Source organism: Homo sapiens, chromosome 18, assembly GCF_000001405.40.
Source record: "Homo sapiens chromosome 18, GRCh38.p14 Primary Assembly".
NCBI lineage: Eukaryota > Metazoa > Chordata > Mammalia > Primates > Hominidae > Homo > Homo sapiens.
This window is the reverse complement of record NC_000018.10, coordinates 26001665-26023975: the sequence shown is the minus strand read 5'-3', so window position 1 is coordinate 26023975 and position 22311 is coordinate 26001665. Positions and strand designations below refer to the sequence as shown.

The 22311-nt window shown below is 36.0% G+C and overlaps 1 protein-coding gene across 14 annotated transcripts in view, besides 1 other annotated feature; it reads left to right on the top strand.

Annotated features, from left to right (window-relative positions):
• The window catches only part of SS18 (SS18 subunit of BAF chromatin remodeling complex), a 74967-nt gene extending 67244 nt beyond the window's left edge, over positions 1-7723 (top strand). For all 14 annotated transcript variants that reach the window (XM_047437767.1, NM_001308201.2, XM_047437763.1 and 11 more), the window contains one exon: positions 5596-7723. In XM_047437767.1, coding sequence (XP_047293723.1) covers positions 5596-5622 — 27 coding nt within the window. In that variant the 3' untranslated portion in view covers positions 5623-7723. The remainder of the gene's footprint in view (positions 1-5595) is intronic.
• Positions 19992-20091: an enhancer, noted in NCBI's record as "active region_13177". NCBI's record gives its function as "activates an Ori minimal core promoter by ATAC-STARR-seq in GM12878 lymphoblastoid cells {active_cell/tissue: GM12878}" and the evidence as "EXISTENCE:reporter gene assay evidence [ECO:0000049][PMID:35858748]".

The following is a 22311-nucleotide window of genomic DNA, read 5'->3' as shown; positions in this document are numbered from 1 at the left end:
GTAGTCTGCTTTTCTTCTCTTTGTGTTATTGTTACAAATTTTACTTCTGTATACGTTATAAACCCCACAGTGTATTGAATTTATTTTTGTCTAAAAAAATCAGTTAAAGATACTTAAATAATAAGGAAAAAAAAATTTTTAAATTGACCCATGTAGTTACCGTTTTTGGTACTCTTCATTATTTATGTATGGATTCATATTACTATGTGGTATCATTTTTGTTTGCCTGAAGGATGTTAACATTTCTTGAAATGCAGGTGTACTGGTAATAATCAGCTTTTGTATGTCTGAAAAAAATGTTTATTTTGCCTTTATTTTTGAAAGATATTTTCTCTGGGTATAGAATTCTAGGTGGACAGTTTGTTTTTGTTTTCTTTCCATACTTTAAAGATGCTCCACTCTTTTCTTCCTTACATTGTTTCCAAGGAGACATTTGCTGTCATTTATCTTTGTTCTTTTGTAGTTAATATGTCTTTTTTCTCTGTTTTTAAGATTTTCCCTTTATCAAATTGTTTGATTGAAGAAATTTCTCTCTTGCCCAAATTGTTTTGAGCAATTTGATGAGAGCATGCATTGGTGTTGATTTCTTCATGTTTCTTATGCTTGGAGTTTGTTGAGTGTTATCTCAGACTTTGTCATTTTCATCTCTACAAGTTTGGTTTAGGTCTTTTTAATATCTTCCGTGTCTGTCCTTAATTGTTTTGAACATATGGAATACAAATATAATTCTTTTAATATCCTCTTCTGCCAACTCTAATAATCTATGTCATTTTAGGGTCAGTTTTAATCAGTTTTTTTTCTCTGTCCTTTGTGTGCGTGATAATCTTTGATTGGATTCCAGACATTGTGAATTTTATGTTGGGTGATGAAGATATATGTATACCTAGAGATATTCTTAAGCTTTGCTTTGGGATTCAGTTTAATAAGTTACAAACAGTTTGAACTTTCTGAAATTGCTTTTAAGATATTCTAGGCAGGACAAAGAGCAGTGTTTAGTCCTGGGCTAAATACTCATCACTGATAAGGTAAGAGCCTTTTGGGTGTTTTGCCCAATGCCCTTTGAATTGTAAGGCTTTTTACTCTGACTGGTGGGAATAAGCACTGATTCTGTTCCTATGTGACAAACAAGTATTGTTTCCCCTAATCCTTTTGGGTGTTTCTTGCCTCAGCCCTGGGTATTTTCCTCACACATTTGCATATCTGTACTATGCTGAATAGGAGGAGGGTTCCTCTGCACATCTCCACAGTTGTCTCTTTAGGCAGATCTTTCTTGTAGGGTACTCTGTCCTGTTAACTCTAGCTACCTTTTTCTCTCCAGACTCTAAGCCTTATCTCCTTAAGTCAGAACATCTGGCAGACTCAGCCTCAGTTCCCCTTCGTGCACTGCAGACTGGAAACTCTCAAGGTAGTTAGCTGTGGTAGTCAGAGGGCTGGCCTCATTTGTTTACCATGTCTCAGGGATCATTGTCCTTTGTTGGCTCTGTCCTGTGTGTCCTGAATATGATTATCATATGCTTTGTGTAGTTTTTTTTTTTTTTATTGTTTCAGGCTGCCAGATAAATCCATCTTGAATAGAAACATGCATTAATTTTTCAACATAACATTTCTCTTCATTTGACAGATTATTTTGTTACTGTTTATTGTCATATTCTTCTTCCCCAAGAATGTAACCTCTTTAAAAGCATCGCTTTGTCTGTTTTTATTACTGTTGAGTCTCTGTCACCTAGTAGAGCACAGCACATAATCAGTAAATATTGGTGAATAAAGTATAAACAACTGAGTAAATAAGGCCACTACTTTCTAGATTTGAATGCGTGATCACAAGACCAGAGTTAAGAGGAAACCCCTAAAATGTTGTGAAGGAATAATGTTAAGATTTTAAACTGATTAGGTAAATAGAATGAAGGAAAGAAATGTAAAGATTTTGGTATTGCTCAGATTTCTACCTTAGGAACTCTTCTCATTCAATATACTCTCCCTAGGCATTCTCATTTATTCACAAGGTCTCAGTTCACCATGCTGTTGACTCCCAAATCTCTATTTATAGTCTCAATCTCTCTTCTGGAAATTAGATGCCTACTCGACAGCTCTGCTTAGATGTATCATAGGTATTAATTCAGCAGAAACAAAATAAATTTATAATTTTTTCTACCAAAACTTTTCTGTGTTCTTTATCAAAGAGAGGGGTACTATCACCAAGCTAGATTGCCAAGTGCCTGTTTGGTATTTAAGTGTCCCTGCTTTTCCTCCCTTGTCTAATAAATGACAAATGTTATTGATCTTCCTTTTTGAAAAGCTTTTGAACCCATTCATTTCTTTCTAACCTACACCCTTATCTTAGTTTAGACCATGTTCATCTCCTGTCTTCATCGCAGTAGGATCTTCCATACTGTCTTCTTTCCCATTAAAATTCTTTATACTGTAGTCAGAGGAATTTTTTTTAAAAATTGAAGAGCAAAGAGAGAGAAGGTGAGGCTTAGAGTGTTCAAGTGATTTACTCAAGATGACAGAATTCAGGAGTGGTGAAGCTGCATGACTACTGCTGAGTGCTGAAAGCCCATGCTCTGTTCACTGTACCATGCTGCCACCCATACTGTTAATGAGTACTTGAGTAGTTCACAGAGCATTTTCATGTTTTTCTTCTTGAATAACTTTTTAAAATAGAGATTATAATTACCCTTGTCAGATGATAAAATTGAAACTCAGGGAGGTTAAGCAACTTGCCCAAGGATAAGAAGCTGTTAAGTGGTGACGTTAGCACTAGAAATTGGTTTCTGGCTCCAAAAGCCGTACTTTTAATCCTTAATGCCACCTTGGAATTTGTTAATGGTTGCAGATACACAGCCTACCTTTTTAGGCATGATTGTGGTTTTGTTTGGTCCTAGCATTGTGATCAAGTATGGGCCAAGTTACTTAGACTCTCAGTGCCTCCATTTCTTCTTCTATAAAATGGAGGTAATATTTACTATATATAGATGGACACAAAGCATTTAATACAATATGTGACACAAACTGAGGTATTATTATCAGGGTATATTATTAGCTTCTACTCCTCATTATTGCGTATTCTTTCTTCCCACTTCCCTAAGCATTCTGTGTTTTATCCTCCATGCCTTTGTTTCAGCTATTTCTTCTATTTGAATTGCCCCCTTTTCTTTTCTTCTTTTCTGCTATTCAGATCTTACTGTTTTCTCAAGGCTCCCACATTCTTGGGAATATTTTTCTAATTAATTTAGGCTGTGTTAACCTTTTCCTTTCTGAACTCTCTTAAGTTTGCTAAGACTTAGAGAACTTATCTGTTTTGTAATTATACCTTAATTTCTGAGTCTTCTCTGTTTTCCACATTTTTGATGATGATGAGTATTTGTTCCATAAGTGTTCACAGTTGCTTGGATATAATTTATTTGGTATACATTATTGACCTGGTCTCTTTCAAGTAGTTCATAATACAGTAGATAAATTATAGCTTATATACTATGGTACAGTGGTTCTTAACCTCTCTTCTGCTTTCACATCATTTATATTTGCAACTCACTTTCATCATTAGCATCTCATTTTATACATTGACTAGGGGAGCATTTCCCTCCATCATTGAGAGTCACTGATTTATAATTCTAAAAAGCGCTTTCTCATGTCCTCTCCTATTTAAGCATCATAACAAACAGATGAGGTACAGGAATTAATGTAGCCATTAACAGAAGGGAAATTGTGATCCAGAGATATATATGTTACTCTCCCACTGATGATTGAAGAAACCGAGTCTCACAGAGGTTTTTTTAGACTCAAATAAGAAGTTAGCAATAGAGTTGGAACTTAAACTCAGATTTAGTATTTAGACAATCTAACAATGGAATAATAAGCTCCAGTATGCTAACCAATAACTTTCTTATTTTAAACCTTTTATTATGTTTATTTTAAACACATATAGAAAAGAGAGTAATATAGTGAACCCCTGTGTACCCATCACCCAACTTCATCAGTTTATCAACATTTTGCCAATGTTGTTTTATCTACCCCTCTACACTATTTTTTTCAGAGTATTTTAGAGCAAATCTTAGATGTGATATCATTTTACTCATAAATCCTTCAAGATGATCATTGATTTAAATTTAGCTGAATATAACTATGTAAAACACACTAGTGTAAAATCCCTAATCTCTTTTTTTTTTTTTTTTTTTTTTTTTTTGAGACAGAGTTGCTCTGTTGCTCAAGCTAGAGTGCAGTGCAACCTCCGCCTTCTGGGTTCATGCAATTCTCTTGCCTCAGCCTCCCAAGTAGCTGGGATTACAGATGTGCGCCACCACGCCCAGCTAATTTTTGTATTTTTAGTAAAGACGGGGTTTCACCATGTTAGTCAGGCTGGTCTCGAACTCCTGACCTCAAGTGAATCACCCGCCTTGGCCTCCCAAAGTGCTGGGATTACAGGTGTGAGTCACCATGCCTGGCCCATAAAATCCCTAATTCTGTTTAATTCATTATTCCATCATATATATGGTGACATTCAACACATTATCATGTGTATTTACTTCTGTGGAAATGTAGATTTTTAGGGTACCATTTCTTATGGTAGAGAAGTATTTCAAGTCTAGAATGTTTTTGAGTTATATTGTTGTGACGTGGAGAGAGAGTTGTTTAGCCAAAGGAAACAGTTAACTAATTATATGCTTCCAGTGAGTCATGCTTTTTGAAAATTAGTGCTTTTATGAACATCTGTTTTAAACACATTTAAGAAATTTGTAATAAAATACATATTTCATAGTATGTCTTTCTTTTTTTCTACCTTCTGTTTTAGAGGAAAAGATGTTGCTTATCTTCTCCAAAAGTTAACCTGAACAGATGTATACTGGACATTGTTTACCCCCACTCACAGAATTGTGCTGCTTCATCATGTCCCTTCGTGCTGCTTCATCATGTCCCTTTTGTCTATATTCCCTTTCTGTCTCATCCTGTCATCCTGAGGGTCTTCAAGTCTACCTTATTAAGAAAACAAAACAGACAACACAAAACAGCTTTCCTTGATTTTATGTCCCTGTGGCCTGTCTAAATACCTCTGCTGAACTTTGTTGACCTCAGGGAAAGGCTCAATTATTTTGGTATGGATAGAAGGTTCTTTACCTTTTATGTCCCACATACCTTTCCATTTTCACTTGCCACTTATTGCAAATACCCTTGATGTTCATTTGTAATAATTATAACAAGCTAAACACTCACAAAGTTGTCACACTAGCATATGATTTACACCCTAATATATATATTACATCAGAGTTTAGAACTAGAACTTCTCACTCAATGCCTGCTCAATTCATTCAACAAAATTCACTAAACATTTAAGTTCCCACTCTGACAAGTATTATTCTAGGCTCATTTGCTAATCCCTAGCATATTTTGGACTATGAAATTCATTTGCAATTGAATATAATATCAGAAGAAATTACAGGGTGATACTGTATACCTAACGATATAAAAAAATTTTGTTTATTGTAGGTACGGCTGCTTTTTTGTGGTATGACAGTGTTAGAAATGATTCGTTTGTAATCTTCTTTGCCTGTTATGGTCAAACTATTATCTAATTATATTTTTAAATTTATCTTTTAGGGACAGTATGGAAATTACCAGCAGTGAAAAAGTACTTACATTCCAGTAGCCAGTATCTATTAGCAGCCATATTGTCACCTCAGCACTGTGGACACCTCCCTGTGAAGAGATCCTTCCATTCCATCTAGTTTTTGGAAAAACCTTGTGGATAAGTGGCTGTTTCATCAGTAAGCAGCCTTTGTGGTTTAGTTATAAAAGGCTTTAGTAGCTCAAAAATACTCTTGATTTCACATTTCTACTCTAGATGGCAACATTGGACAGAAAATGCAATGACATAACCAATTTGTAATGATTTTGGAACTGTGTTTCAAATGGACTGTTACAGACTGAAAGGTGTGAACAGCTTTGTATGTTTATGAAGGGTAAGGGAATTTAATACTTTTCCACAGATTTTTTTGTAAGGGGAAGAGGGAAATGTACACTTTTTACAGCAGCAATATTTTGTATATTATGTTTATTTCATGTGGTGAATATGCAAGGCGGTACACTACGCACTGGACAGCATCAGAAATCCTCTGTTAATGTGGACTGGAACATGGTAGATGCTTGATTGTTTTGGTCTCAAAATGGTGTGCTATAAAGATAAAGGTGAGGGGAAGACAAAGCACACCATATGTCCACTGTTCTGTTCTCATAGAGGAAATTCAAATCCCTTTTATCTATTAGATAATCAAGGGCACTGTGATACAGTTTTGAGTAAAAAGACATTTTTTAAAAGCCTTCCAGTTTTGTGGATTAAACCTTTTTATAAAGATCATTTATAATACTGTTTTAAAATGTGAGGCAATAAGAATTACTTTGTGTTGGATCTGAGGAGGCTTTGGTAAAACAGTTTCATCTAAATGAAAGTGGTAATCCTCTTCTAAAATAGCAATAACTGAAAATGAAAGTGTTAATTTTACCTTGTTTGAGTTATCAGGGAACTTAGTAAGTAATATCAAAGCATTTTATAAATGATATCAAAGAAGAGTCAACATTGATCCAGTCATTTTATTTTGTAATATTGAGGGATAATTGGTTATTAAACTGAATAGTTCAGGAGACTTTACAAACCTTTGTTTCAACTTTCTTATCTGGAAATAATATCATTTATAAAGGGACACTTTTATGTTTTTCCCTTTTTTATGTTGGTTGATATAACACAAAGAGATATTTAGGAAAATGCTTATTGATGAGGTTTATTCTATCTGTTTTTAAAGCACCGAGGTTGCATTCTAGATAACCTTGTTTATTAGCATGGCATATTTTAATCATTATTTGAGACTGTCCTGTGCCTGATTATTTTAGCTAAATTCAGGGAGATTGCGTGGGGCAGGAAAGCATGCATTGAAAAATTTCTAACCACGGTTATTTAAGCATAATCTGAAAACATCTAGCCCAAAGGTAAGTTGCTATTTTCATCACAGTTGCCTATGCCCAGGGAATAAGATGTATTCTTTATAATTGAATTGGTTTTTCCCACGTCTAACTGGAAACAAAACAGAAGGGGCGTCATAAATTTGAATAAGCAGAACATACTGTTCTCAACATACTGTAATCAAAAGGAGGAATTTCAGTGGGTCTCTGTGTGTGTATGAGAGAGAGAGTGTGTGTTTGTGTGTTTCAAGGTCAGAACAGGTTTTTTTGTTTTTGTTTTTTGTTCTTTGTTTTTTTTTTTGAGATGGAGTCTTGCTCTTGTCGCCCAGGCTGGAGTGCAGTGGCGCAATCTCAGCTCACTGCAACCTCCGCCTCCCAGGTTCAAGCAGTTCTCCTGCCTCAGCCTCCTGAGTAGCTGGGATGACAGGCACCCGCCACCACACCCAGCTAATTTTTGTACTTTTAGTAGAGACGAGGTTTCGCCATGTTGGCCAGGCTGGTCTCGAACTCCTGACCTCAGGTGATCCACCCGCCTCGGCCTTCCAAAGTGCTGGGATTACAGGCGTGAGCCACCGTGCCTGGCCAGAATAGGTTTTTTCTTTCAACTTGATCAGTAGAAAATGGACATCAAGTTTGAACAGATAAATCATGGACAGCCTTATTGTGATTGAAATGCTTGTAGGTTCTGTGCCAATTTTCCACCACTGTGTACTTTGTTGCTATTTAAAACTGTATCAACTCTAACGGAAGAATAAATTATTTGTGATTTTAATTTTCTCATTTGTTTCTTTAAATTAGATCTCTTTGACTCTCTTGTCTTGTCTGGAGACTATGCTGTGGGTTTTTATATAAGTTAGTCCAGTATAAGCAGACTATATTTGTATTCTAGGACTTTATCAAAATTCTCTTGCCATGCCCAAGTTAATTAGAATTAACCGTTCAGTAATCAGCATGTTGTGTAGGCTGTTTGTTACAGAATTCTTTCTCCGAAAATGAAGTCCATAAGGCTATAATCAAGATGACTGAATTAGATAAATGAGTTGAGGAGACAAAATTGTACTGAACCCAACCTGGTGTAGTACGTTATCTCATTTGAAATAAGCTCAACTGACATTAAGAAATAATTTGTCTTGCCAACCCATCTTCTGTTGTCTTATTCTCCTTTTAATGGAAACTAAAATTGCAATTTTAATAAGCAGAATTTCCTCCAGGACTTTCTTCCTGGAGACTAGTGCATTTGCAAGGTTTAATTGTTTTATAACAGTCCTATTTTGTAAAAGTTTTTAATTGGTGGTGACAAAAATTACCTTACTCCTCTGATACCTAGTAAGAGGAATAACTTTACCAGTAGCTGTCTACTAGATTTGACATTTCTGTACAGACTATATATTCTACAACTGAAATTTGCATTTTATCGAAGTAATAATATCATACTATCCCATAAAATTCCAGAAACAAAGTATTACCAAGAAAAGAGTGGGGTCACTATTAAACATTTCAAAATATGCTAAGTGTGTTAGTTCTGTTATTTGGGAATATGTTATTATTCTGTAGCATTATTCAGGTGGCACATTGTTTTTGGTTTTCTCTTAAAATTTTTTAATGGAATTTTTAAACATACACCCAAGTGTAGAGCAGAGTATGGTGCGATGGGCCCCCATGTAATGTTAACCCAATTTATATACTTAGCAACTCATGGCGAAACTTCTGATTGTTCATACACTAACCCCCAAATAGAAACAAACGCTATATTATTTAATCACTTAAATATTCCAGTAAACATATCTAAAAGTACTTGAAGATTCTTCTTGCTCCTAAATTCTGTGTTTTCAATGTTAACATTGAATTAGAAACCATCTGAGAATTTGTACGTATAAGTCATTGCCTTTTCTTTCATTTTAAAAAGTCATTCATGTTAAATAAAAGATTAATAGACATACATTATACAAAGAGTTAACATTTTTCATAATTTCATCCATTAAAAGTCACAATTATTAAAAATTTGGTACTTTTCTTCCAGTTTAACTTTACACAATAAGCCAACCTATGTTGTTTTTTAAAACAAAAACGGAATTATACTACATACTATTCTGCAACTTTCTTTTCTTTTTAACTTAGAAATATCTTGAATGCTCCTTGTTCCCTTGTTGCCTCTTAATTTTTTACTGTTGTAGAAACAAAGCTTTTATAAGCTATATTGCAGAGTTGTTTTTTTGGGGTTTTTTGTGTGCTGTTGGGGTATTTCTTTACAGTAAATTTTTAATATCTTAGGTGTAAGGCTATGGATGTTGAAAAAAGTATCACCATAAAAGGTATATCACTGGCAACACCAGTTTCATTAGTCTTACTAATTTTTGCAATTCTCATCAATTTTTTAAAATGTTATCTCTGAATTTTATTTGAATTGCATTTATTTGTAAGTTGAGCATCAATTTAAGTACCTATTACACTTTTTTTTTGGCTATGAAATGCCTTTTAATGTTCTTTGTCTGTTTTTCTGTTGGGATGTTTGTTGTGTAAGAGAGAGGAAATTACACACAGACACACAGAGATGTGTGCACATACATGTAAAATTACATATGTCCCTGCACAGTTAATCCTTTGTCTCTTCTATTGTTGCAGGTCTCTTCTGTCCATTATTTTGTAACATGATGTCTTTCACTGTATTAAAGCTTTAAGATTTTATGTAGTCAAAAGTTTGGCTTATGACTCCCCCCAACTAACAAATTTGTAAAAATATTCCTCATATTTGCTTCCATTTTTCTGAAACTTATTGTTCATGATATAATTTAGGACATTAATTTTTTTCTTATGGATAACGTTGCTTAAGCATCATTTATTGTATCATTTTTCTTCCAGTGATTTGAGAAGCCACTCTATTCCTTTAATTTAAAAAATTAATTATAGTTAAAGCTATTTATTTATGTTTTATGTATTCCATTTCAAGGACTAGTTAAATGCATTTAACTGTCTAATTTAATTGGCATAAACTTGTGAGTTGTTTTTCTCTAACACAGTGTTTTTTTATTTGATAAAAGTTATCTGCAAAATTATACATAATCACTAGCTTTTTTGTTGTTTGTTTTTGGTAAAGACAGAGTCTTGCTTTATTTCCCAGGCTGCAGTGCAGTGGTCCCATCTTGGCTCACTGCAGCCTCCGCCGCTCAGGTTCAAGCGATTGTGGTGCCTCAGCCTCTTAAGTAGCTGGGATTACAGGAGTATGCCACCATGCCTGGCTAATTTTTTTTGTATTTTTAGTAGCGATGGGGTTTTGCCATATTGGCTGGTCTCGAACTCTGACTTCAAGTTATCCGCCCACCTCAGCCTTCCAAAGTCCTGGGATTGATTACAGGCATGAGCCACCATGCCTGGCCCTTAGCTTCTTAATAGTAAGAAAATTATTGAAGTGTGTTTTTATAAAGAATGACTACAACTTTTAGAGATTTTTGCTTGTTGATGTTTAAAAGCTCTTTAATTTTTTTGTGCCCTGCTAATGGACTGTCTTTTTAGCTGCCCCAAAGTATCTCTGTTTGATTACTAAAGAAATCAGTAGAAAACTTTTATTGTTTACAAATTGAAGTCTCAGAAATAGACAATGCAATATAATTTTCATTAATAAAGACCTATAATTAGAGTGACAATGTAATTTATTGCCCAATTTGATAACCTTGAGAATGGGAGATTGTTTTACATATATATACACACACATATGTATATATGTACAAACGTGTGTTCATTACATATATAAACACAAATACAGGTGCATATATGTGTGTATATGTGTATTATATATGCGTATATGTTAGATATATGGGTATATATTTTTTATTTTGTCTTTTCCTGATAGAGATCCATAGTTTAAAAACTTAGAGCCGGGCATGGTGGCTCATGCCTGTAATCTCAGCACTTTGGGAGGCCAAGGCAGGCAGATCACCTGAGGTCGGGAGTTCAAGACCAGCCTGACCAACATGGAGAAACCCCGTCTCTACTGAAAATCCAAAATTAGCTGGGGTGTTGGCACATGCCTGTAATCCCAGATACTCAGGAGGCTGAGGCAGGAGAATCGCTTGAACCCGGGAGGGTGGAGGTTGCAGTGAGCTGAGATTGTGCCATCTGCACTCTAGCCTGGGCAACAAGAGCGAAACTCCGTCTCAAAAAAAAAAAAAAGAACTTAGATATGTGAGTTGATGCATTTATGTTATAATTTTGAACTGTGATATCATCCTGAGAGGGTTTCTCATGATATAGTATATTAAAATATTATTTAATATTAAAATAGATGAAAAAGAAATCCTGAATGTTCTGAAAGGTTATCATTTTTGTTCTCTCCTAGGAATAATGATTTTCCTCCATTATTATTATTTTTATTTATTTATTTATTTTTTGAGACAGAGTCTCGCTGTGTTGCCCAGGCTGGAGTGCAGTGGTGCTATCTCAGCTCACTGCAAGCACCGCCTCCTGGATTCACAGCATTCTCCTGCTTCAGCCTCCCGAGTAGCTGGGACTACAGGCACCTGCCACCACACCCAGCTAATTTTTTTTTGTATTTTTAGTAGAGAAGGGGTTTGACGGTGTTAGCCAGGATGGTCTCGATCTCCTGACCTCGTGATCTGCCCACCTCAGCCTCCCAAAGTGCTGGGATTACAGGCATGAGCCACCGTGCCCGGCCCCTCCATTATTGTTTTGGGTGGGTGCATGGTTGCCTACCTAGAGACATTTAACATCCTCCTTTGCAGCTTGGTGTGGTCATATGACTTTAAGTTCAACCCAGGAGGCTATGAGTTGTAATGTGTACAGCTTCTAGACCACATTCTTAAAACGGTGCTTTCGTTTTTCTTTTCTTTTTTCCATGGGCTGGAACATGACCTATTGTTAGGGAGCTTTGGCTTTATAGATAGAAAGATACTCCAGAGAATGACAGTGTAGGTAGACAGAAGCAAAAGTCCCCTGAAAATGGTTGTCATGAAGCCCTCTCCTCTCCCGCTAATCAGCTTGGACTTCGACATGAGAGAAGTAACACTTCTATGTTATTAAGCCCTTTGTGATAGGAGCAAATCCTGTACTCTGATGTAGGGTGATGCAGTAGTGGCCAATTCATATTACTCTATGATATGCTCTGTATGGAATCAATTTTTAGGAATGACAAGTGAGTGTACTGTGTGTTTAGCATACATTATAGTAATTCCTTTCATGTTTGTGACTAGTGAAATAGGCTAAAATTATGTAGCATTTTCTCTACGATCACTCTCTGCTTTCCATCAGTTGAATGAATGGGAATGCCACATTTAATAACAATAAATTTGGTTAATTTGAAAGTATTGGTAATATAGTTAATATTGATCTTTTTTAGCATATGTATAATTATAAATTTTATAAATATCATGTTTTCCATGTACTTATTTTGAGCATTTTGTAGGTAGGACCTCATAAAACCTCTCTCAAGATTTCAACTTCGTTTTGACTTATCACTTTAATCGATTCTTTGAATTTTTTTCTCTAATGCTTTCTTGCTGCTTCCTTAGTTTTCTGACTTTGACTCTATGGCATGTGTACTTTGATTCTAGTTTCTCTGCCATCTTTTCTTTGAGGATAAAAAAACATGCACCAAAAGTATTTTGATTTTACTTTAATAGTAGCTCTTATTCAGCTTAGGTCAAATGTAAAGAGTTTTATGTCTACAGAAGCTGTAACTATATTAGCTATGGAATGATATTTAGAAATGATATTTATCAGGACTTCTGGTATCAGTGGACCAAAATACTGCATATAGCTATCAAGGATTTTACCTTCTTTTCTATCAATATGGCTATACTAGGGAATTCTGTCTGTTATTGCCTTGAAAATTAAGAGCAAGGAAGTGTAGTTTGGCTTTCTCTTCAGCACTAATATTCTATCCAAAGAAATCCTATTTCCTGTTCATTAATTTCAGTATTCCATTCTTTCCCAAGATCTTGCTTCACAGCAAGCTTTCATACTTCAAGCTCTACAAGTTAGTGTTCAGTCCTCATTCCCACATAAACACAACCATTTTGAAAACATGAACTGATATTAATTACCCCCTTGGCACCAAAAAGTCAGGATTTCCTGATGCGGCACGCTAATGTAAAATGCATTAGTGCAAACGGTGGCTCCAAAGGGTAATACTCTCTAAATAAACACAGCATTTTTTTTTTTTATTCACAACTCTGGGGCTAGTCTGAAAGTTATTCATCCTCCACACCCCCCCAAAAAGCATTTTGATTTTTAATAAGTTATAACTGGGATTTTTATAAGAAGAAATTGAATTCCAAGCTGGAAATCAGTGTCACTTAACTCTTTTTGGTTCTGTGAAATAAAATTCTACCTGAATGTTCGGGTGATTAAGTGGCTTTGAACCATAATTTTCAACAATCTATTGGAAGATAATAACAGTTCATGTTTAGTCAGTATCACTAAAAATGTGTATCTTACATTTTTACTTAATAAATTCTTTATTTCAAATAGTCATTCAAGGTCAGAAAGTGTGTGTGTTTTGGTGTATGTGTTTATTTGAATATTCTATATAAAGACTTCTGATCAAGAAGGCATTATATCATACTTTGATGTAACCCACCATACACATAATACTGCTACTACTAACAGAAACCAACCAAAGAAGAATTAAAGTACAGAGAGTCAGGTTCAAAGAAGGTAAGCATCTCTATGGATCAAAAGCGGAATAAAAATGTAAATAGGGAAGGCAGAAACCATGAGCCTCCTGGGTTCTGAGTGTAGAAGTTGACAGTGAAACTCGAGAAATTGGTTCCTGTGGAGTAATTGAGCCAAAAAATAATATACATAATAATATAATAAGATAATGGAGCCAGGTTTGCTGCTTTAAGGCAGAGGCTAGAATGTGACTTTCTCCCACTTTCCCTCCTATTTATAAAAGAAAACTAACAAAAGCTCCCTTCTTGCTAGCCACCACCTAGGGCCTTGTTTTGAAGAAGCTGGACATAATGATGCTAGAAGATACGTATTTAGCCTCTCGATCTAGAACGAAACCAAGCTATTTTGAAGCTTAGTATTGGATTTTAAATAATTTCTAAAATCATTAGGAGAATAGGAAGAAATTTTCTCAAAGTTTTGATTCTAGACTTGGTTTGGGATCTGGGAGACAAAGGGATGCACAGAAGGAAGCAGGAATGGTGGGGAAGAGAGAAAAAAATGAACCTCCTGCTTTAAGCCCATGAACCAAACTTTCAAAATATGTTAACAAACTAACTTGGAACCTGCATTCAAACCACGTAACATTCATTTTATTTAAAAGTCTGACAGATTTTAAAATAATGTATTTTGGAATGTTTAAAGAGATAACCCATCCATCCACATAGATTTTCAGATATTATAAAACAAAAACAAGTGAAATAACAGGTACGTGTAAAAACCATTTGGAAATCGTATAAGTGCAACATAGTGAGACCTTGTCTCTACTTACAAAAAAAAAAATTGTTTTTAATGAGCTGGGTGTTGCACCTGGAGTCCCAGCTACTCCAGAGACTGGGGCCAGAGGATCACTTGAACACAGCAGGTGAAGCTGCAGTGATCTATGATCACACCACTGCAGAATAGCCTGGGTGATAAAGCAAGACCTTGTCTCTTAAAAAAAAAGCTTTTGAGTGAAAAATGTAGTAATTGGACCAGCTCAATTGGCATAAACTATAGGCTGGACACAGTTAAGAAAATCTGTGAAACAGATGAAGGTATGAGAAATTGCCCCATACCAGAGCACCAAGAAATAAGATTTTAAAAAATGTATATATATATGAAGGAAAAATTAAGACATGAGTGCAGAGTTTTAATATGGGAGCTTCAGCAAAAGGAAATTGAAGCATTGGTTAAAAATATATATATATATATATATATATATATATATATATATATATATATATATATATATATATATAAAACAAAGCTCACAGTTTTCCACAACTGAGTCTGTGAATACACGGATTGTAACTTAACCAAGTTCCAACGAGGTTGAATAAAAATGAATCCTGTCCATATTTAGACACATTATATTGCTGTTAAGAAAAAATCTCAAAACTACCTGAAAGAAAAGGCACATTACCTATAAAGAAAATTTAGACAGAATTCTCTGCAATAATCAAAAGATAGGAGAGTTAAATACTGAGGGAAAATAAGTCTAAATGTTACACCCAGCTAAACTATTAGGTTGGTGCAAAAGTAATCGCAGTTTTTGCCACTGAAAGTAATGGTAAAAAGCACAATAACTTTTGCACCAACCTATATAATTCTGAAGTGAGGGCAAAATGAACATTTTCAGGCTTGCAAAGATCAAGAGAATTCATCATCCATGGAAGATGTACTGGAGCAAAAGAAAATAATACAGTAGAAAGGTGTAGGATGTAAACAAGAATAGAGACTATATAAAATTTGTCAAAACATAATTATGGGTAGGAAACATTACTTTTTTGGGTGTGAGAAAAGGTACAGTTAAGTGTGATAGGTTGGTTCCATTAATGGCCTCATTTTTTAGCCCTCCAAGTCCATGCCCCCTTTTTATATAAAAGTCAGACAGATTTTAAAATATGTTTCTCTCAGGAGTGGGACTTACTTTCCTGCCACTTGATTCTGCTTGGCCATGTAACTTGCTTTGACCAAGGGTATGTTGTTGACTCATAAGGAAGTTTGTAAAAGTGCTTGTGGAGTTCTGCTTCCACTCTTGTACCTCTGCCCTTGCCATGGAAACCTGCCCAGGCTAACCTGCTGGAGGAATGTGAGAGACACATGGGGCAAAGCCGAACTGGCACAACCAACACCAGCTAACCCCTAACCAAAATCAGTAGAGCCACCTAGCCAACCAGCCTGCTGACTGTAGAAGCATAAGCAAGTCTAGCACAGATCAGCTGGACTATGCAAACTCTTAAGCTAAATAAATGTTTATTGTTATACAAGCTGCTGATTTGTTTGTGTGTGTGGTTCTTTGTTAATGCAGCATTACTGTGGCAATAAATAGCTGATACAATACTAAGATACAATGACAAGATAGGAAGCATGACCAATGAATAGATTATAGGTCATGATAAAGGGTTGCATGCATGCAACTAAAGGGTTAACATGCTAAAGGGTTTTCATGGTCAGGAGAATAGGAAAACTGAAAAACTTAGTTGGAAAATTTTCAGGTAAAACAACAAAACGTAGGCCAGGCATGGTGGCTCACACCTGTGATTCCAACACTTTGGGAGGCTGAGGCAGGCAGATCACTTGAGGCCAGTAGTTTGAGACCATCCTGGCCTACGTAGCAAAACCCTGTCTCTAATAAAAATACAAAATATTACCTGGGCATGGTGGCATACGCCTGTAATCCCAGCTACACAGGAGGCTGAATGAGGCATGAGAATCGCTTGAATCTGGGAGGTGGGAGGTTGCAGTGAGCCGAGATCGCACCACTACGCTCCAGCCTGAGCAACAGAGCCAGACTCTCTCAAATAATAATAAAATGTAAAAGTCATTTTTAAAAGAAGACATACAATTCAGAAATTTAGAGCCAGTAAAGAGAAGAAAGGAAAAAAGCATGAGAATAGAGAAAATGTACTCATCCAATGGGAGGAATGAATGGAGAAAAAAGTGGGGAAGGTGGTTAAGAAATACAAAAGAAGATAAAATGGTGTAAATACATCAGTAATCACAATAAATGTAAATAGATTAAACTCATTTAAGGACATCAGGTTGGGTGGACCCCAACTTCTGCTTATTAAGAGATGTTACTAAAAATACAACAAAAATCTAGAAGTTAGATACAGGTATATTAATATCAAACTGTAAGGCAAAAACATTAATAGGGATAAGAAAGGATCCTAAGTATTTAAGATATAACGTTGGATTATATAAGCAAAAACTGAGAAGTATAAGCAAAATTTAAAACTCCAAAATCATAATGAAAAGATTTTAGTCCATTTGTAGCAGAAACTCTGTTTAAAACAGACAAAACATTAATAAGGATGCAGAACACTTTTTTTCTTTTTTTGAGACAGAGTCTCCCTCTGTTGCCCAGGCGGGAGTGCAGTGGTGCAATCTCGGCTCACTGCAACCTCTACCTCCTGGGTTCAAGCGATTCTCCTGCCTCAGCCTCCCGAGTAGCTGGGATTACAGGCAGTGCCACCATGCCCAACTAATTTTTGTATTTTTAGTAGAGACAGGGGTCTCACCATCTTGACCAGTCTGGTCTCAAACTCCTGACCCCAGGTGATCTGCCTGCTTGGCCTCTCAAAGTGCTGGGATTACAGGTGTGAGATACCGTGCCAGGCTAAAATTTTCTAGTAACTATGTTTTAAAAATGTATAAAAAGGGAAACTTCATTTTAATAATATATTTAACCCAATATATCAGAAATGCTATTTCAACATGTAAATTCATGAGACACTTTACATCCTTGTTTTCATAGTAAGCCTTAGAAATCTGGTTTGTATTTTATACTTACAGCCTATCACTAATCACATTTCAAGTGCTCGATAGCCACATATGGCCAGTGGATGTGGAATACAGGATAGCTTTGATGCAGAAAATCTAAAAATGAATATCGAATCCTGTACCTGACAGAATATACATTCTTTTTAAGTATATGTAGTAATTTTAAAAAATGTACTTGTGCTAATTTACAAAAGAAGTCTGATCAAAGTTCAGTCAGTATTCTATAAGTCATTTTCTTTGACAACAGTAGTACATGTGTTAAGAACTTTCAAAATTGATTAAACAGCTTTTGGTTAAAGAAGGTCTCAGCAGAAATTTAGAAATGAGCTACAATAAAAGTTCTCTATCAAAACTGGTATCTGTAGCCTATAGTTAACAAAAATATATTGTACACGTAAAAAAGAGGAAGGAAAAAACATGAGATGCTGATATAGCAATTCTTAGAAGTAAATTGATAGCTTTCAATGGTTTTATTTAAAAACAAAAAAGACTGAAATTTAACTCAGGAATATAGATGAGGATTCCAAAATTGAATGCAGATAAAACATTAGAATTTTGAAGAAGTTATTAAAAAGCAGAAAGTAATACAATTTAAAAATTAGAGGATCATCAAAAGCTGTTTTTTTTAAAAGATAAAAATAAATTGATCAAGAAAAAAGATATTAAGGCACAAGAATCTTTGTCTGTTTAGGCTGCTATAGCAAAATACCATAAACTGGGTGGCTTATAAACAATGAATTTATTTCTCACGGTTTGGGAGACTGGGAAGTCCAAGTTCAAGATGTAGGGAGATTTACTGTCTGGTTAGGGCACCATTGCTGGTTCACAGATGGGGCCTTCTGTCTGTGTCCTCCCATGGTGGAAAGAGTGATGGAGCTCTCTGGGGTCTCTTTTATATGGGCAGAACCCCACCCATGAGGGAAACCTCATGACCTAATCACCTCCCAAAGATGCCACCTTCTAATACTATGACCTTAGTGATTAGAATTCAACACATTAATGTTGACAGAACATTCAGACCATAGCAGTCCATCCCTGGCCCCACAAAATTTATATCCTTCTCATATGTAAAATACATTCATTTCATCCAAGTAGCCCCAAATGTAACTTGTTCAACATCAACATTAAAGTCTAAGTCCAAAGACTCATCTAAATATCTAAAGCAGATATGGGTGAGACCCAAGTTACAATTCATCTTGAGACAAATTGCTCTTCATATGTGAACCTGTGAAATCAAATAAGTTGTGTATTTCCAAAATACAGTGGTGGGACAGGCATAGGATAAACATCGCCATAACAAAAGGGAGAAATAGGGAAGAAAAAAGGGGTAACAGGTCTCAAGCAAGTTCCAACCCTAACAGGGCAAACAATATTACGTTCTAAATTCCCAGGATAATCTTTGACTCAAAGTACTGCCTCTGGACACACTGGGGCAGGAGTTCCTGGCGCCCTTTCCCTCGTGGCTTTGCTGGGCACAGCCCACACTGCAGCTGTCAGGTTATAGTAGGGTTGTAGTTGAGTGCCTGTGGCTCTCCTGCTGGGATCACGGGCTGGTGTCAACCCATCTGGGGTTGCAGGCATGGCAGTTTCCAAGACGACGTCTCGCTCTGTTGCCCAGGCTAAAGTGCAGTAGCGATCTGGCTCACTGCAATTTGACGATCGCTTCCTAAGCTCAAGCGATCCTCCCACCTCGGCCTCTCAAGTAGCTGGGATAACAGGGAAGCGCCACCATGCCTGGCTAATTTTTGTATTTTTAGTAGAGATGGGGTTTCACCATGTTGCTCAGGCTGGTCTTGAACTCCTGGGCTCAAGCAACCCATTGGTCTCGGCCTCCCAAAGTGCTGGGATTACAGGTGTGAGCCACTGTGCCCAGCTGGGCTGGCAGTTTTAATAAGCAGTTTTAGGGAGGGACAGGGGGATATGACTACATATATGCTATATATTCTAAATGTTTACTAAAATAATAGTACAAAAAAAGCTGTATGGAAAGCTTGATTATGAATTTCTTGTGTTTGACATTGACATGATAAAATATAAATAGCTGTGTTATATGATGTGGTCTCTGGTCTTTTTGGCAGCCATGAATAGATTTAGGAATGAAACACTGAACTCTTTAATTATTTATAGCTCATTTATGAATTCTCTCATTGTCCCAGGGGAGTCATTGAAAGCTCCCCGAAGGCAGGGGTTTTGTTTTGTCTACTACTAGTCACTTGATGTCTAGAATGATGCCTAGAATAATGCCCAGTTATGTAATGGGAGTTCCATAAATATTGATTATTAGAAATGTTATTAATTAGGATATATAGAGACATTTAGGATTCATACATTGAAAATGAAGTAGTAAAATAGATGGATTAGAGGTAAAAGTTAGGGCTTTAACCTGAGTCCACAGTGCCTTAGCCAAAATTCCAAAATCCTGACCAGCCCTGAGGTCATTTGGCTATAAAACCTGGTCTGACCCATGGTGAGGTTATAGTCTCTTTATCTGATTCAGCGTCCCCTGGAGGTGCCATGTAATATACTGCCTATGCACACATCTGGCCCCACGAGGCTGGAGAGGAGATTGTGCACCTGTATAGATGTCTATACTTAAGCTGTATACTAGAAGGGTACGTTTCGTTTTGAGTAGGTCTGGAGTAGATGCTTGGTCATACCAGTGATTTATTAATGAATCATAGCATTGCAATAATTAAAATGATAAACATAGCTAACTGTCCCATTGCCCCTCAATTAAAAAAAAAAGTCTCCTTGGTGGAAGATATTTTGTGGGAATGCAGATGGAACGATGACATATATGACAACATTTTCTCTCTTTACTGTCTGTTTTCTGCTAGTCTGTGCCCAGAGCTAAACCATTAGAATCCGACTTGCTAGGAAAGCATGCACTATTTTGCTCTTTTACCAGTATAGACAACTATATGATACCTGTAACAATCTTACCATCATGAGCTTCCTTCTGCCTCTGTGCTTCACAATGTTCTCATAGCCTTGGCTCCATGCCAGTTCCACCTTAACAATGCTCCTTCTATTTCCCAGTGTTTCTCTATCCCTCTGTATAATCCTCCCTAAATAATCTGTGATATTCCAAATGGCTTTCCTTACTGCATAGTATTCACTCAACCGTGTTCTTTCAAGCCACTTGTTAAACCTGTTTTCTTTTTCATATTTTATGGCTTTGAAGAATTCTCAAGTTCCTCTGCTATAAAGTTTCCTTACAGTGGGAGTGATGGGCTTCTGGTCTGGCATGTGTAATTGTTAGTAATAATTTCTCCTCTTCTTTCCAAAAGAGATAGCAAGGGCTCCTTGATGTGAAGGATCTGTTGACTCATATTTGGGCTAATGGATCAATAAGGTTGCCACAATGGAGAAGGGACTTTGTATAAACATTCAGGCCTAAAAGAATAGCCACACTGCATTGAGTTTCATATTTGGGAACTCAGATCAAAAATTATCTTCAGAGAAAGAATACCTCCTAGTTGGAACTAAATCTGAGATCCATTGAGTTCACATTTTAGTATCTCTGAAATTGAGATTTGTTCTCTTTCTTTATAACATAAAATAATGATATGTCTTACTCTTATAATTGATAGTGCTTTAGACTAGAGGAAGAACAATGTAAGTGTTTTTAAAACCAAACCATATTATTTGCATTTTCAGTACAATCATTTTAATTTTCTTAATAAAGTTTCTTAGAGTCTATAATAACCTAAATAATAACCTATAATTTAAAAACTATATTAAAAAAATAAGTATAATATGTTATCTACTCTGTCTTTTGCTTAGTCATTTCCCCTATCATAGAATATTTGGCTTTTCTTCTGGAAATTCCTATCATCAGTATTGCTGAGGCGAACATCTTTGTATTTCTGTTTATCCTGAGAGGCAGTGCAGCAGAGTGATTAAGCACATAGAACCTGGAGTCAGACTGCCTGGGTTTGAGTCTTGCCTTTTTAGTTTCATCACTAACTAGTTTTGAAACCTTGGGCAACAATTGAAACTGTGCTGCAGTTGCTGTATCTCTAACTAGAGAGAATAGTATACTTAACTACCTCAGGGTTGTAAGGATTAAATGAGTTAATATATTACTCAAATTTCTCAATGTTATTGCATGTTAATACATTAGATATAGTAGTTCCTGGCATGTGGTAAGTGCTAAATAAGTAAATTACTGTTATTTGGGGTTATTTCTTTAGGATAGATTCCTAAAATGGGATTATCTTCTCAAAGTATATAAACATTTTCTGACACTCTGGATAAATACTGCCATATTTCTTTCCAATGAGATTATACTAATTTATACTCCTAGAATAGACTGAGTATATATTAATCCTCCTTTGTCAATTTTTAGCATTTTTATTTTTTAATTTTTAACTAGTAACATTTTTTTGGAGACAGGCCTTGCTCTGTCACTAGGCTGCAGTGCAGTGGCATGATCATAGTTCATGCAGCCTTCAACTCCTGGGGGCAAACGATCCTCCTGCCTCAGCCTCCGGAATAGCTAGGACTACAGGAGTGCACCACCACACCTGGCTAATTTTTAAAAATGTGTGTAGAGTTGGGGGTCTCCCTATGTTGCCTAGGCTGATCTTGAGATCCTGGCCGTAAGTGATCCTCTGGACTTTGCCCCCCAAAATATTGGGATTCCAGGTGTGAGCCATTGGGCCTGGCTTAGCATTTTTTAAAAGTAAGTCTTCGTTAATCTCACAGATAAAAATGGTAGTTTATTCTAATATTTATTTCTTTGGTTATTAGTATGAGTTGAATTGAATATTTTCTATGTGTTAGCCATTTGTATTTCCTTATTTGTTCATGTCTGCCTATTTATCTGTTGCTTACTGGTTTTAAATGGTTCCTTATGTATTTGGATACGCTCAATAGATAATAAGTCATGCTTTTGTAATATAG